The sequence below is a fragment of the Homo sapiens genome, chromosome 17, assembly GCF_000001405.40.
Source record: "Homo sapiens chromosome 17, GRCh38.p14 Primary Assembly".
Classification (NCBI taxonomy): Eukaryota; Metazoa; Chordata; class Mammalia; order Primates; family Hominidae; genus Homo; species Homo sapiens.
In genome coordinates this window covers 10,783,097-10,805,738 of record NC_000017.11, presented here as the reverse complement: position 1 = coordinate 10,805,738, position 22,642 = coordinate 10,783,097, and the positions used below count along the sequence as shown (strand labels likewise).

Sequence of the window (22,642 nt, the reverse complement as noted above, 5' to 3'; positions counted from 1 at the left end):
TCTCCTACAGGGGGAACAAAAAATTGAAAGAGTCATGGCTTCCCCAGCAATGTGAGGTGTTTCTGTAGGTACCTGGCCCCTTCCGAGGACCTAGTGGGACAGGAGGCAAGTACTGAGATGGAGATTGGCCTCAGCTACTTCCCACTTTGAGGTGTCCAGAGTGTTCACCTGGCTTGGCTCAAGTCTCGTGGCGTTTCAGATCCTAAGAGCTATGGTTTAGGTCATCCCCTGCCACCTTCCCCAAAATATTTTCTGAAAGTTTCTTTCTCATCCTGGCTTATTTTACACATAGAAAAATGAAGGCCGGGCATAGTGGCTCATGCCTGTAATCCCAGCACTTTGGGAGGCGGAGGCGGGCGGATCACCTGAGGTCAGAGTTCGAGACCAGCCTGGCCAAGTAGAGTTTGAAACCCCATCTCTAATACAAATACAAAAATTAGCCAGGCATGGTCATGGGCACCTGTAATCCCAGCTATTCCAGAGGCTGAGGTGGGAAAATTGCTTGAACTTGGGAGGCAGAAGTTGCAGTGAGCCAAGATCGCACCATTGCACTCCAGCCGGGGCAACAAGAATGAAACTCTGTCTCAAAAAAAAAAGGAAATCAGATCCACCTACTTATTCTCACCCTCTGGGGAAGGCAAAAGTGAGAGTGGAAATTATTTTCTTCATTTATCTGGGTAAACTGAGGCCCAGAAAGGTTTGGTGCCCTGTTCTAGCCTCCCTGTGAATCAGGGACAGAGGGGTGGCTGTCTGCAGCCCTGCCAAGGACTGCCGCTGCATTTTCCTCATTTGATGTTCACCCCCACACCCGCCGTGAGCAGCCACGGGGATAAGATCGCTCCCATCAATGTAGAAGGGATGCAGGCAGTGTCTGGAAGGGCTTACAGGGTCATCTATTATGAGAAAGAAAATGAACATAAAATGAGTTCATGTAGAAAACACAGAGGCAACAGGCCCCGGAAACATCCCTTGACTTTTGCCTGGGAATTGCCCTTTGGTCCACACAGAATCCACTGCAGGAAGAGGCCAGAAGTTTCTTCTCACCCTGTTGTCTTCTCTCTGTCCCCTCTGTCTTTTCCATCTCTACCCCTTTCCCGCCCTTATCCTTACTGTCCATTATCCTAGGGAACTCAGATCCTTCCGTCTGCAGAGTGAGGGCTCTACAAGAAGGCAAAACTTCTCTTGCTAACATGGACCAATTCTTACAGCAACGCTTCAAAATCGATTGATCTTACAAACTCTTGTCTATGTCCTTTACATAAAACCTTTTCCCCCAAGGAAGAGAGTAGGGCAGGGAGGTGAAGAGGAATGGAAACTCCACCACTCCACCCCGCTATACTAGATGAAGCAGCTGTGTCTCAGAAACAGGGCACTCAGGCTCTCTGGCTTCCAGGGATTAGAGAACAAGGCACAGATCAGCCCCTCCCCCAGAATCACAGGACCGCCAACTTGGCAGATGCATCCAAGGGCACCCTGACTCCTCTGCCACATGGATTGTAGGTCCCAGCGATGAGCAGCCCAATTAACAGTGATGTCAGACTGTTTGGGTCCAGATCATTCCTGAGCCATGAAACAGTTAAGAAATATCCTGCCCCACTGGCTGCCGTGCTCATAAAGGTAGACCCACGTGTACTTCCCTGTGGCTCCAAGAAGCGCCAGCTCGCTCATTTGCTCACACCCAGCAGGCAGAGAAGGCAGCAGCAGGCAGGACCGCCACCCTCCCATGCAAATCACCCCCGGGAGTGCAGCTGGGCTCCTCCCGCTCCTCCTGGGCAATGCTCCTGGGGAGTCTGTGGGGAAGATGCCATCCAGGGCGCTGTGCGCTCTTCCTCATCCTCGCCCTCCTGCTGGACGCGGTCGGCCTGGTCCTTTTGCTGCTGGGGATCTTGGCCCCCCTGAGTTCCTGGGACTTCTTCATCTACACAGGTGCCCTGATCCTGGCTCTCAGCCTACTGCTCTGGATCATCTGGTATTCCCTCAACATTGAGGTGTCTCCTGAAAAACTGGACCTGTAATTTGGCCATGGGAAGAGGAGAAGAGACGCAGGTGCTGTATGCAGACATGTCTGTGAACCTGGGGCTCTTGGGCAGCAACACGTTGCAGCTTCCACCTAGCAAGCCACGCCGGGACCAGGTGAGTGCACACAAGACCTACCTGGCAGGGTGGCCAGAGAGGCTTGGACAAGCAGGGGCAAGACCAGGCCTCCTGAGGCTGCATAAGCAAATAGCCAGACACTGCACCCTGACTGGGGATCCTGTGGCCCTGGCCTCAGGTCCTGCTGGGGTGGCCAGCCAAGAGGACGTGGGGCAGGTGTTTTCTCCTCCGGGCCCTTTTCCTCGCAGAGGCTGGAAAGAGAGTCTCAACAGCCCCTTCCACCCCTGATATACCACGAATGATCCTGGCTTCTGGGCACAATGGGAAGTTATCCCTTTACCTCGGAACTTGGGGACAAAAAGACCCCATCTGCATTCTCTGTTGGGAAGAATCTCTGCTGGGGAGAAAAGTCTTTAGCACAGGAGAGGACGGAAAGTTCCCCAATGACTCTTGTGCCCTTGCATACATGAAGGGGTGTGAACTGGGCCACGGTAAAAGCAAACAGAGCAGAACCACCCAGAACGGCCCCTCTCGTTCACTTCCTCCCTGCACCTGCCCAGATGGGATACAAGAAGCGGGGTAGGGACTACTCGCCTCCATGCCCACTCAGTGCACACACCTCCTCTCTCTGCAGTATTCCCACCCCACCCTCACTCACACTCACACGCAGCCAACACATGTGCCCAGCCAGTCTCCAAGGCCCAGAAGTCAAGACAGTTTGGCTTCATGGATTTCATCCGCTGAGTTGCATGTCACAGCTCAGTCTATCGCGTGCAACCAAAGAGGCAGAGAGTTGTAAGATTTTTTCACATCAAGACAGAGTCCCAGAGATAGAGTGGTCTGGTCCTTACAACCCTGAATTAGAGATGGACAGCTGTCTCCAGGGGACTGAAGTCAGAGCCACGGTCCATTGGGCAGCCATACCCTCCTCCCCAGGTGGGCCCAACCTGCACGCAGGTGTATCCAGGCACTCCCGTTTCTTACTCCCTTACCAGAAGTAAGAGCAAAGGTCGTTGCTGAGTTGAAAGAAGGAAATAATAATTGTGTCTTTTGTGGGGGATTACACCTGACTCTCAGAACTCAGAGAAAAGAGAAGCAAAATGAAGAGGTCTCAGTAGAGTAAGGTAAGCCCATACCTAGGAAATGATGTAGAAACAGATGAGAAGTCAGTCCCACTCTGATCTTCAGCACTTGTTAGCTGGGTGTTTTTGGCCAGGTTGCACACTCTGAGCCTCAGGATTCTCATCTGTAAGATGAAGAGAATATTTCTGGCCCTTATTGCTGCAAGGATCGAAAAGAGATAAGGCAGGGAAAGGCTGTACAATTGATGTGGTTCTTACACCAGATGTCAAGCATACAAAACACATAATCTGGGATGAGTTAACTGACCCAAAGTCCAAATGTGAAGTACCTTGGTGTCTCTCAAATTGGTAGTGATGGGGGTCAACTCACACTTTGCATCAGGAAACTTCAGAGCAAAAAGGGTCCCTGATTTGTGTGCTGGTATGTTGGAATGTGTCAGGCACTGTGCAAGACACTGGGGATAAGAAATGAGACACATGGACCAGGCACAGTGACTCATGCCTGTAATCCCAGCACTTTGGGAGGCCGAGGCGGGCAGATCACTTGAGGTCAGGAGTTCAAGACCAGCCTTGGCAACATGGTGAAACCCCATCTCCACCAAAAATACAAAAAATTAGCCACGCATGGTGATGCACACCTGTAATCCCAGCTATTCAGGAGGTTGAGGCAGAAGGATTGCTGGAGCCCAGGAGGCACAGGCTGCAGTGAGCAGAGATTGCACCACTGCATTCCAACCTGGGCGGCAGAGTGAGACCTGTCTCAATTAAAAAAAAAAAAAGACACATGACGTGGGGGCTCTACTCTCAGGGAGTTTACCATCAGGTGAGAAAGACAGACACTCACCAAAGATTCACACTTACAAAAGTACAATAACAAAGTCAGGTCTGCTCTAGGAAGGAGAGGAGCATCCTGCCACAAGAATATTCAATAGAGAAACTGACTCAGAAGATGGAGTCAGGGAAAGCTTCCTGGAGGAGGTGATATTATGCTGAATGCCAAAGGAAGAGTGGGAGGTGAATGGAAAGTCTTTCAGGGAGAGGCAATGGCTTGGGCAAAGGTCCTGGGATAACAGGAAATAAAAGACGACAGGGAGATTGAAGGGCAGAGAGCAAATGTCGGTGAGGGTTAGGGCTCTGTGGTAGACAGAGGCCAGATCTGGCAGGGCCTCGAGGGCCCTCTGAAGGATTTTGGTCATTACTTGAAGAACAATAAGAATCCACTGAGGGCTGGGTGCTGTGGCTCACACCTGTAATCCCAGCACTTTGGGAGGCCGAGGTGGGCAGATCACGAGGTCAGGAGATCGAGACCACAGTGAAACCCTGTCTCTACTAAAAATACAAAAAATTAGCCGGGCGCAGTGGCAGGCGCCTGTAATCCCAGCTACTTGGGAGGCTGAGGCAGGAGAATGGCGTGAACCCGGGAGGCGGAGCTTGCAGTGAGCCGAGATCGCACCACTGCACTCCAGCCTGGGTGACAGAGCGAGACTCCGTCTCAAAAAAAAAAAAAAACAGTAAAAAGGAATCCATTGAAGAGATATAAGCAGAGGCAGGGGCTTAACATAATTGGACCTGTGTTTCCAAGAGACCACCCCGGCCACAGTATAGGTTATTATGGTTATGATTATTACCGGCTGAAACCCATTTGGGGAGCCAAGACAAGTACCCAAACAACACAGAGTCCCCAGTGTGAGGCTCCGTGCCCTGAACAGCCTTCCCTCATTGAACAGAAGTTCAATAGCCCGGCGTTGAAGAGCATGGGCCATACCTAGACTCTGGCTTGAATCCAGTTTTATTCCTTTCTAGCAACGTGACTTGGGGCAAGTTACTTCACCTCTCCGTGCCCCATTACTCCAAATATGTAAAATGGAGATGGTGCTAATAATAGCCACTACGTCATAAAGATGTTGCCCAGATTAGGTGGATTAATATTTGTTCAGCACTATGCAAGTGATGACTAAATAAAGCGTCAGTCACGATGCAGGTAGCCAGCACATTACAGAGGGTGAGGCCCTGACGCATTACGATCAGTTCTAATGGCAATGTACAACATTAGGATTTTTCAGTAGATATGAGACTGAATGCTGCTCCAGAATGCTAGAGTTTTGTCCTGGTTCAAAGAAACTTTAGAAGTTTTAATATGTTCTTTATTGTATTCTTTACTGCATCTCCATCCCCTGACACATTTCAGGGATGGCCCAGAGTGACAGATTCGTGTGTGCTGAGTCCTGCTGTTCAGGACGTTGCTCACTTATGGGGCTGCCCAACCCTCCTCCACCCCATGGCCTTGGGCGAATCATTTTACTTCCCTTTAGAGTTAAAGATGTGGTTTCCGGCCAGGCCTGGTGGCTCACGCCTGTAATCCCAGCACTTTGGGAGGCTGAGGCGGGCGGATCACGAGGTCAGGAGATCGAAACCATCCTGGCTAACACGGTGAAACCCTGTCTCTACTAAAAATACACAAAAATTAGCCGGGCATGGTGGCGGGTGCCTGTAGTCCCAGCTACTTGGGAGGCTGAGGCAGGAGAATGGCGTGGACCCGGGAGGCGGAGCTTGCAGTGAGCCGAGATCACGCCACTGCACTCCAGCCTGGGCGACAGAGCCAGACTCCGTCTCAAAAAAAAAAAAAAAGATGTGGTTTCCAAGGGAGGTTTCAAACTGTGTTCTGCCAATGTCCCTGGAAGGGAATTGGGCCTGGGGTGAGGGGCAGAGTGAGGGGACAGGAGTCCAGCAGCCCTACCCACCCCGTAACACACATTTCACCCAGAACAGTGGAGCTCTCAGCAGCTTTGCACATTAAACTGGCACGTAAGACTTTACATGAACACAAGTTTCTGATGCCAAAAAATATTTGAAAAGCAGCTCGTCTCACTTCCCCTACAGCCTACGACCTTTGGCCTATATGTCAATTCCAGACACATTCACGATTTACGGGCAGATTGTAACTGGCTTTGCCAGCTCTCTCATTCTCAGAGCGGGGTAAAAGGAAAGAATGTGGGCTCCCTGCATTCAGAGCTGATGCCCACATTCCTAGCTCAGCCTTCAGAGGCTCTGTAAGATGAGGTTGAGGCCGGGCATGATAGCTCATGCCTGTCATCCCAGCACTTTTGAAGGCCAAGGCCAGAGGATCACTTGAGGCCAGAAGTTGGAGACCAGCCTGGCCAACATAGTGAAACCCCGTCTCTACTAAAAATACAAAAAATAGCCAGGCATTGTGGCATGTGCCTGTAACCCCAGCTACTTGGGAGGCTGAGGCAGAAGAATAGCTTGAACCTGAGAGGCGGAGATTGCAGTGGGCCAAGATCGTGCCACTGCACTCCAGCCTGGGCGGCAGAGCAAGACTCCATCCCCCAAAAAATAAAAAATTAAAAAATGAGTTTGATAGGACCTGCCCCCACCCTGCCCCAGAGATGAGGAGGTCCCATGCTCGGTCAGGACAAGGCAGGGGCCTGGCTGCCCCACAAGCCTTCTGCCCACAGCCTGCGTGGTTCTCCAGAGAGAGGGCAGGGTGGCTGCTAAACCTCAAAGGCACCCCCAGGAAGTTTCAGGGCGAGTGGCTGATTTTTATAGATCAACTGTGCTCCAAGAGAGACAAGCTGCCGTTTGATTTTATCACCTGGTCACTGTATTTTCAGATTTTTTTTTTTGCTCCATTTTCCACTTCTTGGTTATTTCCTGCAGATAAAGATAAGTCCCCAAGCAAAGTCAGATGAAGACTCTTGTCCTTTTTTAATAGGGTGTCCAAGACTACACACCCAAACAATACACACACACCAACACCCCACACACGTACACACACATCCCTCTTCTACTCCACGTGTTCATGCACACACAAACACGCCCCCCACACACTCACACCTACCACACACATCCAGAAACACACACTCACAGAAACAAACACACCCACCACACACTCACACCTACCAAACACACACCCAGAAACACACACTCACAGAAACAAACACACCCACTCTCACACCAACCAAAGCCAAAAGGCTAACAGCCTTGAGCCTTGGAAAATGAAACTTGTTCCTCCACTTCGACTTTTTCCAACAGGCAGCCTCTCCCCTCTGCCCACAGAGGAGGCCAGTGGAGCTGCCAAGTCAGCTCAAAGGTGAGCCTGGTAAAAAGCCCTCCTCTCCTGCTCAATGAATCTGTGCCCCATGCAGACATGGTGCCAGGGCTGTGTGGAGGAGCAAACATTTCTCTAATCTCTCCAGGGATTTTTAATCTAAGGGGAGAGATAAAGCATGTGCACGATACTTCACAAAGTTTCCAAGGGAAAATGCATTGCAGGAGATAAGCACAGTCTTGCCAGGGCTCTGAAAGCTGAGAGGAGGCACAGAACCTCCTGGCTGGGGGAAGCGTGCTGTGTGTGGTTCTGGCTGGGCTGCTAAGGAACAGGTAAGAATGTGACAAGTAGAGATGGCACAGGGACAGCAGCCGTGGGTGGTGGGTAGGGGGCAGTCCAGGCAAAAGGAAGGACTGCAGAAATGAAAGAATTAGGGTGTCTAGGAAAAGCTAAGCAGGCACATTTGCCTGGGGGTTGGAGTCTTCAGTGCCGGCTGTGCAGGACTTTGAACACCAGGTGAGGAGTCTGACACTAGGAGAGGAGGGAGGAGTCTTCAGTGGTGTTAGATACTAGAGAGCAACATGATCAAGCTTTGCCTGTAGAAGAGTAACTGAGCATCGTGTGCAGAATGGATGAGAGAGAAGCAGCAGAGAGACAGCAAGGCCATTCAGCAAGCTCAGGTGGCAGGTAATAAAAGGGTTCAAGCTGAAATGATGGCCACGGAGGGGAGGGGAGAAGAGCAGAGACTGCATGAGTGGAGAACGGCCTGTCCTGTTCTACAGCAGATCGGGGGTGGCATTGTCAAAGCCTTCAGAAAGCGCCCCTGGGGCATGGAATGAGGGAGGTCAGAAAAAGGCATGAGTTTGTTTAAAATGATTCATTTTCTTTTGAACATGCAGAGTTTGATATGCAAATCGTATACGAGCAGAACTACCTAATTGGCATTGAATGTGCAGATTTTAAACTCAGAAGAAAGATCAGATGTGGAGGGAGAGGTTAGGGGTTAGAGACATGTGGATGAGATTACAGAGGGTGAGGATGTAGAGAGAAAAGGGATTGGGAGAGTGAGGAAGGAAGGAAGGAAGGAAGGGAGGGAGGGAGGGAGGGAGGGAAGGAGGGAGGGTGAGAGGGAAGGAAAGGGGGGAGGAAGAAAGGAGAAAAGAACACTAAGATTCACTGAACCAGGCCCTAGGGTTGCACATTATCCCATTTCACCCTATCAACAAGGCCATGAGGAAAGTAGTATTATCATCATAATCATTATTATTCCTCTCTATTACAGATAACGATAATAAGGTGTATGGAGGTTAAGTAACTTGCCCAGCATAATGGAACTAGGCAGTGATCGAGCCAGATTGTAAAACCAGGTATATCTGACCCTGTGGTTTATGCTCTTTCCATAAGACCAGGGGTAGGCAACTACAACCTATGGGCCAAATCTGGCCCACCTCCTGTTCTTGTAGATAGTGTTTTATTGGAACACAGACTGGCTCGTTCACTCTCATATTATCTATGGCTGTTTCATGTTATAGTGGCAGGGTCGAGCAATGGTAACAGAGACTATGTGGCCTGCAGAGCCTATGACATTTACTACCTGGCCCTTTACAGAAAACATTTGCCAGCCCCTGGCCTAGTCACGTATGTTTCCTATAGGAGCCAAGTCAGAACCTTGATCCATGCCTGCATGTGGGGAACGGGAAAAGGAAAGCAGATGGAAGAGCCCAAATGGAAGTTCCCAGTAATAATAAGGAAGAGACGTTATGCCAATGGCAAAGAGGACAAAGAAGGACAATTATCAAGAGTGAGGGGAATTGACCATCAAACACTTCAAAGCCATCAAAAAAAGGCTGAAGCCTAAGGAAAGGCAGTTAGGCAGACCCAGCAATGTGCCTTTCTCAGTAAATGGTGGAGACAGAAATCAGATGATGCTACTTATCGGGTGGCTGAAGATGGGTGAGGAGTGAGTGCAGATTCATCTTCAAAGTATTTGGTGATGAGATTAAGAGGGTAGGGCAGTCACCTGCTGGCATAACCGTGCTAAGGTGGGAATTCTTAGAGAAGGGATATAGAACATTGAGCAAGACGGTAAGTGGAGGAGAGAAAGTCAGCAGAGAGGAAAAGAGGATGCTGACGTGATAGACGAAGATGAACCTGTGATCACATCCAAGGTGGAGGTTGAGGCAGAATCCAGAGAGCAGAGAGAGGTAGGCATCGGCTTTGCCTGCAAGGAAGGGTAAGGAGAGGAAACTAAGATTTGATGAGAATCTTGATATTTATTAAGCCAATCACTTATTTTCATGATCTCATTCAGTGCTTACAACTCTGTGAGTGCGGGATTCAAATTTCCATTTTCCAGGCAAAGGAAGCTGAGTCTCATGTGGTTTCAGGGCTAGCCCAAGGTAACAGTGCCATGGAGAGGCTGCTCTAGGATTCAAACCTACGTCTGGCAACTCCAAAGACTATGCTGGTTTCACCACACACAGGCTTGAAATTGATGGATTTGGGTTGGGGGCTGATCCATTTTATCTTCCTTTGTTCAACACAGGTCCCATCTGATGGAGGAGAATCAATTCAAGGAGATGCCCTTCCTTTACAGAACACCCTTTAACAGCATCCAGGAGGAACGAGAGGCTGCAATACTGAGGCTTTCAAAGTACTCACGAGGATGTCCGAGAATGGCTGTGATGCCAGGCTTCTGGCAGGTTCCAGACTCCATCACAAGCCCAGCATCCCTGCACCAGATCTGACATCGCTGCTGTTGTGCCAGCTGTTTATGAAGGGCCTGAGTAGCTAGCAGGTTTTTATCAGGAGCCCTGCTGGGGGCTTAGACACCAAAAGAGAAGACTCATCCTCTGTAGTTCTTCTTGTGAATGTCCTTTTAGAAAAACAATTAGAACCAACCACAAGCACCAAAGTCCTAATGGGATCTCCTGCGAGCACATATCAAGCAGGATTGTTGCTATTTCTCCTCACTGGCTCTTTGGACAGACTGTGTGAGCTCCTGGAGGGTTCCACTGTATCTACCCTTTGACACTGACCAGTTGGCACATGGTGACATATTCCAATGTGTTGATTGCAAATGTGAACGTACAGCCAGTGCTGTGTGCGGGAGGACTCTCTCCTCCTCAGTGGGGCCACACCGTGCACTATTAATGGAGCCCCACTCCTTTGCACAGCCTGGCCATGCAGTGGCTCATATTGAGGTTTTAGCCAACTGAAATCTCCCGTGCATTTTTCTGACAAGCCAGCTAGGCCTCTGCTATGCTGTCCTTGTGTCTTTCATTTGATGACCTTAAGGGTGGGACTGTTTTATCTTAAGTTACAGGTGGTCAAGTCCAGCCCAAGGACAGCAACTCTGAGGGTCAAGCCTCATAGGCTAACTGGATAGATGTTCTCTGCTTTGCCACCCACTGGAGCCCGACCTGCCCCACTAATTTATATTTCCCCTGGTCTCATTTTGTACTTTTTATTTATAATTCACCCTTAAAGTGTATGTGTCTCTTATAAGCTGCCTCCGATCTTTCATGGTATGAGGTGGTTACCTAAATAAAGAAGGAGATTTGGCCTTTGTTTTTATGTAACAGGACAGATTTGCGAGTCTTTGTGATCTCATAACAGTTCTCCCAGTTTTAGGATATCCTTTTCCCATTTGTTTAACCTGCCTTGGTGCAAATCCTGTAATTCTGCACTCAGTACAGTGCCTCCAGGGAAGGGACACGTAGAACACGGTGTGATAAAGACAGAGCAAGGATGGGCGCTGTGGCTCACGCTTGTAATCCCAGCACTTTGGGAGGCCAAGGCGCGTGGATCACGAGGTCAAGAGATGGAGATGGTCCTGACCAACATGATGAAACTCCGTCTCTACTAAAAATACAAAAATTAGCTGGGGGTGGTGGCATACACCTGTAGTCCCAGCTACTTGGGAGGCTGAGGCAGAATAATCGCTTGAGCCCAGGAGGCAGAGGTTGCAGTGAGCCGAGATCATGCTACTGCACTCCAGCCTGGTGACAGAGCGAGACTCTGTCTCAAAAAAAAAAAAAAAAAAAAGACAGACCACAGGTTATCCTGACACCATGAAGTCTTCTGGCATCTCTGTGCTCTGCCACCAGTCTACTATCTCTGAATTGGGCTGGACTCAGAAACCTGAGGAGCTATCACAAAAGAGCATTTGGAATTAAGAAGAAAGATTTCTTTCCTACTCAGAATCTCCCCCAACCATCTTCACTTGTAATCCTCTTCATCTTCCCAGTTGGAAGTTTCTTTCTATGTCTGAACTGACTGTACACCGTGAGGGGCCAGAGCCTCTTACCTGGGGTTCTAAAGTTCACAGGGAAGGAAAAGTTGCATGTAATCAAAATCACTCTGAAAAATTCCTTGGGAAGACATTGTGTTGGAGGCCACATGACTTCTCTTAATGAGACCAGCATAGTTGTTTTGTTTTGTTTTAATTCTAGAAGTGGAATCATTTTCTGTTTTCTTTGGCTGGGTACCAAATGTAATCGTTGGCTCTCACTTAGTAGAAGCCACATTGTTTAAAATATGCAAATCTTAAAAAACTAGGATCACACTTAGGCCAGAGCACATGTTCACGTCTAAGAGAGACTGAAGGAGCTGAGAGTGGCTGAGCAGCAGATTCCGACCTTACATGTCACACTCACTCTAGGGAATTTCCCACACTATTTACATCGTCCTCTCTCACACTTGGGCTGTTAGTCTGCAAGTTAAATGCATATATGGTGGTTCTCCATATAGAGCATTTGTTCGACCCAATTAGAGGCCATGTTGCTTGGTAGAATGACTATAGAATAAATCTGTGATAATAGGAGTAAGGGGTGAATTAAATGCAGTCCCCGCTGATTACTTACTAGTCTTTAGATTAGCCTGCAGGAAGAAAAGGGAGGCCCACAGAGGAGGATTTCCTGGAATTTATCATTGACCACCCAGCAACCACATTTAAGAACTGAAACTGAGAGGGCCACCTAGACAGTGCATGTGGAAATTGCAGGGCAATTGCTCCAGGGCAAGGCTTGCTCCGTACCTGCATCTACAAGGATACCACTCAGAGAGACTCCTTACGGTACAGAATTGGAGGACATGAGCCCTGAAGCCATCATTTTTTGTTTTTGTTTTTTTGAGAAGGAGTTTCGTTCTTTCACCCAGGCTGAAGTTGAGTGGCGCAATCCTGGCTCACTGCAACCTCCGCCTTCTGATTTCAAACGATTCTCCTGCCTCAGTCTCCCGAGTAGCTGGGATTACAGGCGCCCACCACCATGCCTGGTTAATTTTTTTATTTTTAGTAGAGACAGGGTTTCACCATGTTGGCCAGACTGGTCTCGAACTCGTGACCTTGTGATCCGCCTGCCTCAGCCTCCCAAAGTGCTGGGATTACATCTTAAAAACCGTGGAGCCATGCTTCTCCAACTGTATGCAGATCACTTGGGGATCTTGTTCAATGCACATTCACTGTGGCTCATGCTTGTAATCCCAGCACTTTAAGAGGCCAATGTTGGTGGATCACTTGAGTCCAGGAGTTTGAGACCAGCATGGGCAACATGTTGAAATCCAGTCTGTATAAAAAATGCAAGAATTAACTGGGCATGGTGGCACATGCCTTTAATCCCAGCTACTTGGGAAGCTGAGGCGGAAGGATCACCGGAACCTGGGGTAGTTGAGGCTGCAGTGAACTGTGATTGTGTCACTGCACTCCACCTGGGTGACAGAGTGAGATCCTGACTCAAAAAATAAAATAAAAAAAATATAGAGAGATTCAGATTCAGTAGGTCTGGGGAGGGGCCTGAGACTCCGCATTTCTAACAAGCTCCCAGGCCATGCTGCTGCTACTGGTTCCTGAGACACTTTGAAGAGAGAGGCTCTCAAGCAACCCCATCATTTCAGGGATGGGGAAACTGAAACCGCAGGTAAAGCGGCTTCACCAAGTTCAAGCAACTGAAAAGTGACAGATCCAGGTCTGGAGCCCAGGTCTCCAGGCTGCCAGTAAAGGCCTCTTTCCTCTCCATAAATGGCTGACTGGCTTCTCCCAAGCCCTGCTGAGCCTCAGGCAGAACAAGCAAGCGAGCAGGTCAGCAGCTGTGGAAGTGAGGCACGCTCATACTGCAGAGTCATGCACCTTTCCCCCTCGGGCCTCACCCTGGCTGTGCCGCGTGCCCAGGAAGGAACAGGCCTCCACGCTGCTCTGCGTCACTTCAGATACCACAGCACTGAGCCCATGGGTGCCCCTCACACAGGGCAGGGAGGGAGGAGGAAATAGGAGGGGCCACAATGCCACCAGGCAGCTCCACATTGAGCCGGACTACATCTGATCTGGACTTGTCCTCCCAGAAAGCTCTCCACCAAAGGGCTGGGCATGGTGAGCCTCCTACTGTTCCCCAGGCCCACCTCATGGCCCCTCCTCCTGTTCATTCCCTCTAGAGGCAATTGGGCCTTTTCAGTGACCTGAACTCTGTCCACCCTGCCACTTACAGGCTGAGTGACTATAGGTAGCCCCCTCCTATTAGGAGGTAATAATAATGACATCACAATCACAAGTGATCCAGCACCAGTCTTCAGGACTTCTGCAGCCTCCTGAATTGGCAAATACCTTAGAAGGTATCATGCCTCATGTCTGTAATCCCAGCACTTTGGGAGGCTGAGGCAGGTGGATCACCTGAGGTCGGGAGTTCGAGACCAGCCTGACCAACGTGGAGAAGCCCCTTCTCTACTAAAAATACAAAATTAGCCCGGTATAGTGGTGCATTCCTGTAATCCCAGCTACTCCGGAGGTTGAGGCAGGAGAATCGCTTGAACCCGGGAGGCAGAGGTTGTGGTGAGCCAAGATCGCATCATTGCACTCCTACAGCAAAACTCCGTCTCAAAAAAAAAAAAAAATCAAAATGTAGAGCTGTAAATCTTAGGCCATCACCTCCTGATTCTAGGGCTATAAACCTGTTGTTTTCAAAGCTATTTAAGGTAAGGTTTGCCATAATGATCAAGTCCACATTTCTCACAACCTCATCCCCATGGCTTATTGCAGAGATGACCAACAGGACCCACAAAACCAGGGGAAGGCGGTCATACTAGGTGGAAGGTCAGCCCACCCCCCAATCAGTAGCCTCGAAGCCCCTCAGATTGAACTCATCTCTCAGTGAAATTACAGTACAATTGAGGAAGGGGAGCTTATCCTGGCTGGATCACAAGCTGACCGCCACCGTTGAGGCAGGCTCAGAAATGTATTTGCATAAAGGATCGGAGAGCCTCCTGGGTAAAAACAAACCCTAAGGGTACAGGGAGTCAGGCAAACAGGCTTGGCCTAGTAGCAGAAACTTCACACGGATATGTTCAGCTTCCTTTACCTTCCATCTGTGTTTGTTCTCAGAGAAAAAGGGTTGCAAAAAGGAATAGAATTGCGGGGGAAACATACTCTCTATGATACTGGGATATACATCTCAGCACTTGAAGGCATCCAGCATACACTTGTGTTTGTTCCTGGTAGACAGAGTAATAATCTGGCAGAAAAATAAAACAATAGATGCCAACTAATAGCTGACTGAACTTGTTTAAGAGCTGAATCAGTTCTTCCAAGACTCCCAGAAGTTTCTTGGCAGGGCAGGCACACAAGGGGAATAGGCGCTAGCCAGGAAAACAAGGATAACAAAAAAGCCATTTCTTGTCAGGGGTATTGGGAAGAAAGGCTCAGAATACCAGAAGCTGAATATGAATCTGGGAATACCACAGCTTTGCTGTGTGAGCCAGTGCTATGCACAGATCCAAGGACTAAACAAAGGGAATGGCCAGAAGCAAGTGCCTGTGACTTTACAGTAGCCACATGGTTGCAGGCTTACGTGTGTTCCTTTATTCAACAGATGGTCACCTTGGGCCTCATTCCAGCCTGGGTCCCAAAGACTGCCTCAACCGGAACTTGGAAGGTTCCTTAGCATTTGACACTGGTAACTTTTAGAAAAGGAAGGGAGAAGTAAGGTACAGATTCCCACTGGAGCCACCCTGCCATCAGACATCTCTGCCATACCCCATACTGCACTGGTCTGTGTGTACCCAAACCCCCCCAAGTCAGCATGCAAATAATTTGCATGCCATTTCTACACACTATTTTATAAGTTAACACCTTAAATGCCGAATTTGGCCTGCCTCTGCTTTCCAAGTTTCGGCACCCAGTTTACTATTATCTATTTCTTTTCTTTCCTTTCTTGTTTTTCTTTCTTCAAACTAGCTGTGCCTGCACCAGCCCCAGCCCTCGAGAACAGCTCTTACCTATTTCACCCAGTTCACTTCCAGCCAAAGCCACAGGCTTATCCCACAGTGAAAAGGACAGAGGCCCTCCATCAAAGCTTTTTTCTGTGTTGGGCATATACCCAACACACACAGACTCAGCTTGGATGTCCTCTCACCCCTTGACCCCATCTTTCTGACTAATCCCTTCCACTCCGCATCAATCTGGGGCTCTGTGACCCTCCCTTCCCAAGTTCACATCTACCTCCCTGGCTGCAGCTATTCAGAATCTGAACTCTGACCCCTGCCCAGGACCTCTCACTCTGAAGAAGAGTCCAGGGCTACAACACCCAACACCAGACCTCTGTAGCTCCCTGGGAACAATAGAGCAGTGATTCTCAAAGTGCAGTCCCTGGACCAGCAGCCTCAGCCTCCCCTAGGAGCTTGTTAGAAATGCAAAGACTTCAGCACTCCGTCGAGTAACAAACTCATCCCAGTTTCCCCAGGACTTTCTTGGTTTCAGTATTGAAAATTCCACATCTTGAGAACCCTGATCAGTCCTGGGCAAACCAGGCTGGCTGGTCATACTAACTGTATCCTAGACCTGCTAACGGAGCAGCAACGGGGGTAGGGGTCAGCAATGGGTATTCAACAAGCCCTCCAGGGGATTCTGATGCCCGCTCAAGTCTTATAACTTCACCTTAAAGGGTTTTTGATGCTGAACTTGTGCCTGCCTGAGGGCTGCCCTCTGGGTGAACCCCTCTTGTCCATCTTCTCTCTGGGCACAGGAAAACAAACCATGTCATTTGGAGTCCTCCCAGACTGCACCAGCCCCAAGCAGCTCTGTCAGCTGTGAAGAACCTCAAGTCCTGTCCAGCTGATACCGTCTTAAGTCACCTGCAACAGGTGTCCTCACCAACTAGGGGGGTGCACTCATTTTTCCTCCCATCTCTTTCACATTTCAATTTTCAAGGAAATCGAGTTTCCCTTTGTTTGGGGAAAAAGTCATGTGGGATGGGGGAGCTTGCTGGGCCTGGTGTACAAAAAAGGAGGGAAAAGGAAGGAGAGGGGTCTCGGTGGGGTGGGGGAAGGGTGAAAGGTATTGAGGGAATGACGTTGATGGAAGGAGGATTAAAAGAAGGCTGGGATGGAGAACAGCAGTGGCAAAGCCATGGAAGAGAGAAAGTGAGAAATGGGAAAAGGTTTCTCAAAGTGTGGTTCCAGTGGACCAGCCGCGGCAGCAGCCCCTGGAACCTTGTAAGACATACAGATTGTCAGTCTCACCGCAGACCTACTTAATCAGAAACTCTGGGATTGGGTCCCTCTGTGTCTGCAGTTTAAAAAGTCTCCCCGGCCAGGCACAGTGGCTCACGCCTGTAATCCCAGCACTTTGGGAGGCCGAGGCGGGCAGATCACGAAGTCAGGAGATGGAGACCATCCTGGCTAACACGATGAAACCCTATCTCTACTAAAAATACAAAACATTAGCCGGGCGTGGTGGCGCACGCCTGTAATCCCAGCTACTCAGGAGGCTGAGGCAGGAGAATCGCTTGAACCTGGGAGACAGAGGTTGCAGTGAGCCGAAATCACACCACTGCACTATAGCCTGGTGACGGAGCGAGACTCCGCCTCACAAAAAAAAAAAAAAAAAAGGCTTCCCAGTGATTCTGATGACAGCTATGGTCTGAGAACCACTGGGCAAAACAATTGTATTTCTTTAAGCAAGCATCCTACTCCCCTTGAGGCTGGGTTTTCTCGTTTTCAAATTTCTGCTGGTCATAGTGGCTCAGGAGAGAGATGGGGATTCTTCTAATGTGGCTCTCAAATAACACCTCTTGCTGCTGGCCTAAAAACTTCCTGAGTCACACCTGGGGACAAATGGCTGTGATATCTGCCTTTCCCTCCATGGCTCTCGCTGTGCCATTGGTCCCGCCAGCCTAGGGCAGCTCTAGACTGGGCTGCCTCTGGTGCTGTGTCATTTCCAAATCTAGTCAATATCAAAACCCTCCTTTATAGTTTTATCTCCTCTCTCCCTTGTCTTGACATAGGTTGTCTGCCAAAGAGACTGTAATCATTAAGGAATAATTCATTCATTTCCCCATGATTTATTAATCAAACATATCCATAACCCCATAACTGGGTATACAAAAAGCATAAAACAAATGTATTATGATTTCCATTAGAGTTTTTGAAACATTTAAAACAATCCATTACAATTTCCATAAACCCCTGGGGATCTGGGAGGAACAACTGAAACCAGAGATCCAGATCTCAAAGGCCTGTGTGAACAAAGGTAGCAAAAGACCCAATCAACTAAATGCCTGTTGGCGCTTGTCACTGTCCCCCAACCCTCAGCTACTCAGGACTTTGTCCCCTTTCACAAACCCCACCCCTTCCCTTTTCTGGGAATCCCCAAGTGGCTTCTCATGTGGGCTCACAAACACCCCCAGTACTAACTCAGTGGGGTCTGTGGCTGGCTGCTGCTTTGCCTGTCCCCAACTGCTCAGCCTTTCCCAACCTGGCAGCTCCTACTAGACCCCACCTCCACCTCCTGCAAAATAGGGCTTCATTTTTCACCATTAAATCCACCAGAAAATGCCAGACTGCATGGCAGTGTGGCAGAGTAGGGAGGCAAGGCCTGGTGCCCCAGCGGTCCCCTCTGTCACAGCAATCTCAGAGCCATGCTGCTTGGGCCACAGTATGATGCAAGGTGCTAGAAAATTATATTTCCCGTGTCCACCCGCAGGGCCCTGCTCACACAGGAATTCATGGCAGAATGGAGCTGGGAGGCAGATGGAGCGATGGAGATCATATGCTCAGGATCCCTCTCCCCCTCTCATGACAAAGGCTTTGCCCCTGCTTCTGGCTGGAGGGACCTGCCCTCTCCTTGCTTGGGACAGTTGTTAACCAACACATCTTAATGACAGAGGAGAGAAGAATCAAGACCTGGGGATGGAGCTGGGAGAGGCCAGCCTCGAACAAAGAATATCTTGAAAGCCTCTTTTTATCATTAAAGTGTGTATGAATGTTACCTTTTACCTCATCATACACTTGTGCTTGTTCACTGTGTTTTAAATGTCCTCAGATCTTCAAGTATAATGTCTTCGTTCTACCTGCGGGTTTAACTTTCCTCCGGCACAGCGATGTGGACCCCTAGACAGCCACACAGCACAGCTGAGAAGGAATTCTCATGGCTGGCAGCAATTCTCTGTCATAGGTTGGGAGGCTCTTGATTAATACGTTTCAAATTAGTCAGGGCTTAAGATCAAGATGCACTACTCTTTATTTTATTTTATTTTATTTTATATTTTATTTATTTATTTATTTTGAGATGGAGTCTCGCTCTGTCACCCAGGCTGGAGTGCAGTGGCGTGATCTTGGCTCACCGCAACCTCCACCTCCCGGATTCAAGCAATTCTCCTGCCTCAGCCTCACAAGTAGCTGGGATTACAGGCACCCGCCACCATGCCCTGCTAATTTTTGTAATTTTAGTAGAGGCGGGGTTTCATCAGGTTGGTCAGGCTGGTCTTGAACTCCTGACCTCCAGTGATCCACCTGCTTTGGCGTTCCAAAGTGCTGGGATTACAGGCGTGAGCCACCACGCCCAGCCGAGGCACCACACTTATGCAAGCTTCACATGAGAAAGCTGAGATGTACAATGACTCTGGGGTGTAAAATGACTCACCCGAGGCCACAGGGCTGGACTGGAACACACACTTTCTGACTCCTGACCTACTGCTCTTTCTGCCATTCCGTTCTCTCTCTCTGAGTGAAAGCAAAAGTCTGGTGGTGAAACAAGGACCCCCTCTACCACTAAGCCAAAGCACCTGGTCAGCATAACAGGGGAATGAGGGTGTGTGCCTGGGCAGCCTCTGTGTACCTCTTCTATGGAATGGGAACATTGATGCCAGAACTATAGACTCCAGAGGATGGCTGTGAGATGTCTGCTGGGTAGTAACAGCCATACAAGGCTTTGGAAACGTATAAGTGTGGAACAACGTGGGTTGTGGCTCTTGATTCCCCCGCTGGGAAGGCTCAGGTGAAGCTTTGCTCATTCTAACCTTCTCCCTGCTCTTGCCCTGTTTACCGCACTTCAGCAAACACACATGGTGGAGTGTGGGGAGCTCAGGGAAGCCAACTCTGTAACAAGGAGGGCAAACACCTGGCCCATGAACCAGAGCCACCTCCACACACTCCAATGCCAATGTAAATCATCAACATAGGATCTTATAACTGTACTTCTGGGCACCGGCATGGTCTCCATCCATGACTGCAGAAGCCACCACCAGGCCGCTGAAATTGGCTCCAGAGGCCGGGCGCGGTGGCTCACGCCTGTAATCCCAGCACTGGGAGGCCGAGGCAGGTGGATCACCCGAGGTCAGGATTTCGAGATCGGCCTGACCAACATGGAGAAACCCCGTCTCTAGTAAAAATACAAAATTAGCCAGGCATGGTGGCCCATGCCTGTAATCCCAGCTACTTGGGAGGCTGAGGCAGGAAAATTGCTTGAACCCAGGAGGTGGAGGTTGCAGTGAGCCGAGATCATGCCATTGCACTCCAGCCTGGGCAACAAGAGCAAAACTCTGTCTCAACAAAAAAAAAAAAAAAAAAGGAAAAAAAAAAAAAGAAATTGGCTCCAGAGATGAAATCATTTATCTTCGCTATTTCTTAGAGTTCAAAAAAGCCAATTCTCAGGTGTCAATTATGTAGGTGAACTTAGACCAGCTGCCATAGCGAGGGAACACCTACAAATCACTCCTCCCACTGTAGCACAAGTGATTCAAACTGGGAAGAGCCCTGATTAGTTTGAAACTTATTAATCAATGTAGTCCTACATTCCAGGCATAAGGCTAGTATTTGTACTGTCCTTCATTCCAAATTCTTCTTGGTCTACCTTACATGGGGAAAGTCTTTGTGCTTTATAAGCATAACTTTTGAAATGGGCTTGGTAGACCCTGTATTAAAGTTAAAAAAAAAATACCATTTTCCCCATAAGCCAAAGAGGCTTAAAAAGAGAACTCAACTCAGAGAAGATCTAGACATGGAATTAAAGGGTAAAAGCATGAAAGGGTAATTAAAGAGGTGGATTGTTTGAAACGGGCAGTTAATTGCTTCAAACCTGAACCAAACAGGCAAGTTGAGTGGCTCAGGGTTGTGTGACTGTAACTTACCTTATCTATAAATAGATCCTACTCTGTATTATAAATAGCTTTACACTTGAAGAGCTTCTGAATGTGCCATACTAGAGCAGATGGGACTGGGGGCCAAACTGACGGACGTGGCAAAGGAACCAGATCACAAATCCAGAGTCCTACCCTCCCTCCATACATACACATACTTCCAATTTCCTAAATATTGAAGGCAGAGTAAGAGACATGCAAGAGACATCAGTGGAACTCCAGCAACAGGGGATTTAATTTGGAGTGTAGTGAGGACTTAGCATAACATAAAACCCCGAAGTTTGGAGGAAATCTCCACAAAGTTAAATGACAATAGCTGACTTGTCCCTCTTGCAAAGTGTAATGCAGTTTCCCCTCATTAATGCAAACACACACACACACACACACACACACACACACACACACCCCTGTGGTTCCTCTCCCCTTGCTGGTAACCCTCCACCTTGATATAACCATCAACTGAGGAAAGAGAATGTTTCGTACTAGAAGTCAGACCCGGGTTTCTGTTTCAGCTCTGCAACTTGCTGGCCAAATGACCTTGTCACTATACCTTCCTCCAAGGCTCCAATTTCATCTGTAAAATGGGCTCTTATAACTATCAAGAGATACAATACATACAATAATAACTAACATCTACTGAGGGCTTACCATGTGCCAAAATAATTTATTCTTTATCGTAACCTTACTTGTCACCAATTGTAATCTCAGACAAATTTCTTAACTTCTCTGGGTTATCTTTTTATGATAGATAAGATATTACAGTAGTGACAAGTAGAGATGGAACTGGAAACAATCAATCTGACTCCAGAGCACTTTGAAATCTATAAAGAAGACTACAGTTGTAGGCCAAAGATGGAAGGATGTCTGAAGTCAGCACTTCTGAAATTGTGGCCAGAGTACCTCACTGAAATGCAGATTATTTTCTCCCTCTCCAGACACCATATTGCTGTGTGGGAGCATCTGCATTTTAATAAGCCTCATCAAGCGATTCTTATATAGAGCAACTCCAGAACTTCTGAATTACGATTAGACCCTAAAGAGTCACTTCTGGCTAAGATGGAATAACAAAGACTGGATTTATGCTCCTGCCTGAAATAACAAAAAATAAATTAACAAACAAGACATATAAAATGATAGTTTACAAAAGTGTGGAGGCTGGGCATGGTGGCTCACGCCTGTAACCCCAGCACTTTGGGAGGCTGAGGTGGGCAGATCACCTGAGGTTGGGAGTTCGAGACCAGCTTGACAAACGTGGAGAAACCCCGTCTCTACTAAAAATACAAAATTAGCCTGGCATGGTGGCGCATGCCTGTAATCCCAGCTACTTGGGAGGCTGAGGCAGGAGAATCACTTGAACCTAGGAGGTGGAGATTGCAGTGAGGCGCGATCGCGCCATTGCACTCCAGCCTGGGCAACAAGAGTGAAACTCTGTCTCAAAAAAAAAAAAAAAGTGTGGACATCAGGCAATGAAATACAGTGATAAATGAAAGATGGGAAAAAAGAGATAAGCCCAACCGTTGCCCCAGCTTATGGCATTAGAGAGTTTCTAGACCACGGTATAAGGAAGGGGAACATAAATGGAGGCTGGAAGACTCCCCGAGTTAGAAGGAAGTGATAGTCCAGAGAGAAGAAATCAGCTACGGTCTGAAGGGCAAAATATCAGATAGGAGGAGAGAGCTGCACAGACAGAAATCTGCAGAGAATTCCAAAAGATTGTTCAGCAGAGTACTGATTGGCATGTGTGTGTGAGGAAACTACCCAAGGCTGGGAAAAGAACCATGGAAACGACTGGAGGGGAGAGTGGAAGGTGTTCAGCAGGAGTAGGAAGGATGCCTGGTCCAACAAAACACTATAAAAACCCACGTGATACATGCATTAAGTGAAGTACTCAGTACTTAGTAGTGCAGAATAATTACCTCTACACTAAATGCTACTCTAGTATAGTAAGTCTAAAAACAACTCCCCACCCAAAGGATTAAACTATTTCCAAGTAA

At 48.5% G+C, this 22,642-nt stretch overlaps 1 protein-coding gene and 1 long non-coding RNA gene across 2 annotated transcripts in view, besides 3 other annotated features; one reads left to right on the top strand and one right to left on the bottom strand.

Annotated features, from left to right (window-relative positions):
• Positions 1–22,642, bottom strand: part of TMEM220-AS1 (TMEM220 antisense RNA 1) — an 85,388-nt gene that overhangs the window by 9,426 nt on the left and 53,320 nt on the right. Inside the window, exon 2 of the long non-coding RNA NR_073458.1 lies at positions 3,231–3,340. This is a non-coding gene — a long non-coding RNA (TMEM220 antisense RNA 1). The remainder of the gene's footprint in view (positions 1–3,230; positions 3,341–22,642) is intronic.
• Positions 1,236–2,021: an enhancer, noted in NCBI's record as "H3K27ac-H3K4me1 hESC enhancer chr17:10707035-10707820 (GRCh37/hg19 assembly coordinates)". NCBI's record gives its function as "activates a minimal SCP1, AML or CMV promoter by ChIP-STARR-seq in naive H9 embryonic stem cells {active_cell/tissue: H9 hESC(naive)}" and the evidence as "EXISTENCE:reporter gene assay evidence [ECO:0000049][PMID:30033119]".
• On the top strand, positions 1,640–10,831 carry TMEM238L (transmembrane protein 238 like). The gene is made up of 2 exons (NM_001388428.1): positions 1,640–2,133; positions 9,791–10,831. Exon 1 carries the CDS (start codon positions 1,776–1,778, stop codon positions 2,013–2,015), a length of 240 nt encoding a protein of 79 aa, NP_001375357.1. The 5' UTR covers positions 1,640–1,775; the 3' UTR covers positions 2,016–2,133; positions 9,791–10,831.
• Positions 6,152–6,651: an enhancer, noted in NCBI's record as "H3K27ac hESC enhancer chr17:10702405-10702904 (GRCh37/hg19 assembly coordinates)". NCBI's record gives its function as "activates a minimal SCP1, AML or CMV promoter by ChIP-STARR-seq in primed H9 embryonic stem cells {active_cell/tissue: H9 hESC(primed)}" and the evidence as "EXISTENCE:reporter gene assay evidence [ECO:0000049][PMID:30033119]".
• Positions 6,652–7,153: an enhancer, noted in NCBI's record as "H3K27ac hESC enhancer chr17:10701903-10702404 (GRCh37/hg19 assembly coordinates)". NCBI's record gives its function as "activates a minimal SCP1, AML or CMV promoter by ChIP-STARR-seq in primed H9 embryonic stem cells {active_cell/tissue: H9 hESC(primed)}" and the evidence as "EXISTENCE:reporter gene assay evidence [ECO:0000049][PMID:30033119]".

What these genes read in the sequence shown, in the direction of transcription:
- TMEM238L (NM_001388428.1), top strand. Translation starts at nt 1,776, where the DNA reads ATGCTCCTGGGGAGTCTGTGGGGAAGATGCCATCCAGGGCGCTGTGCG.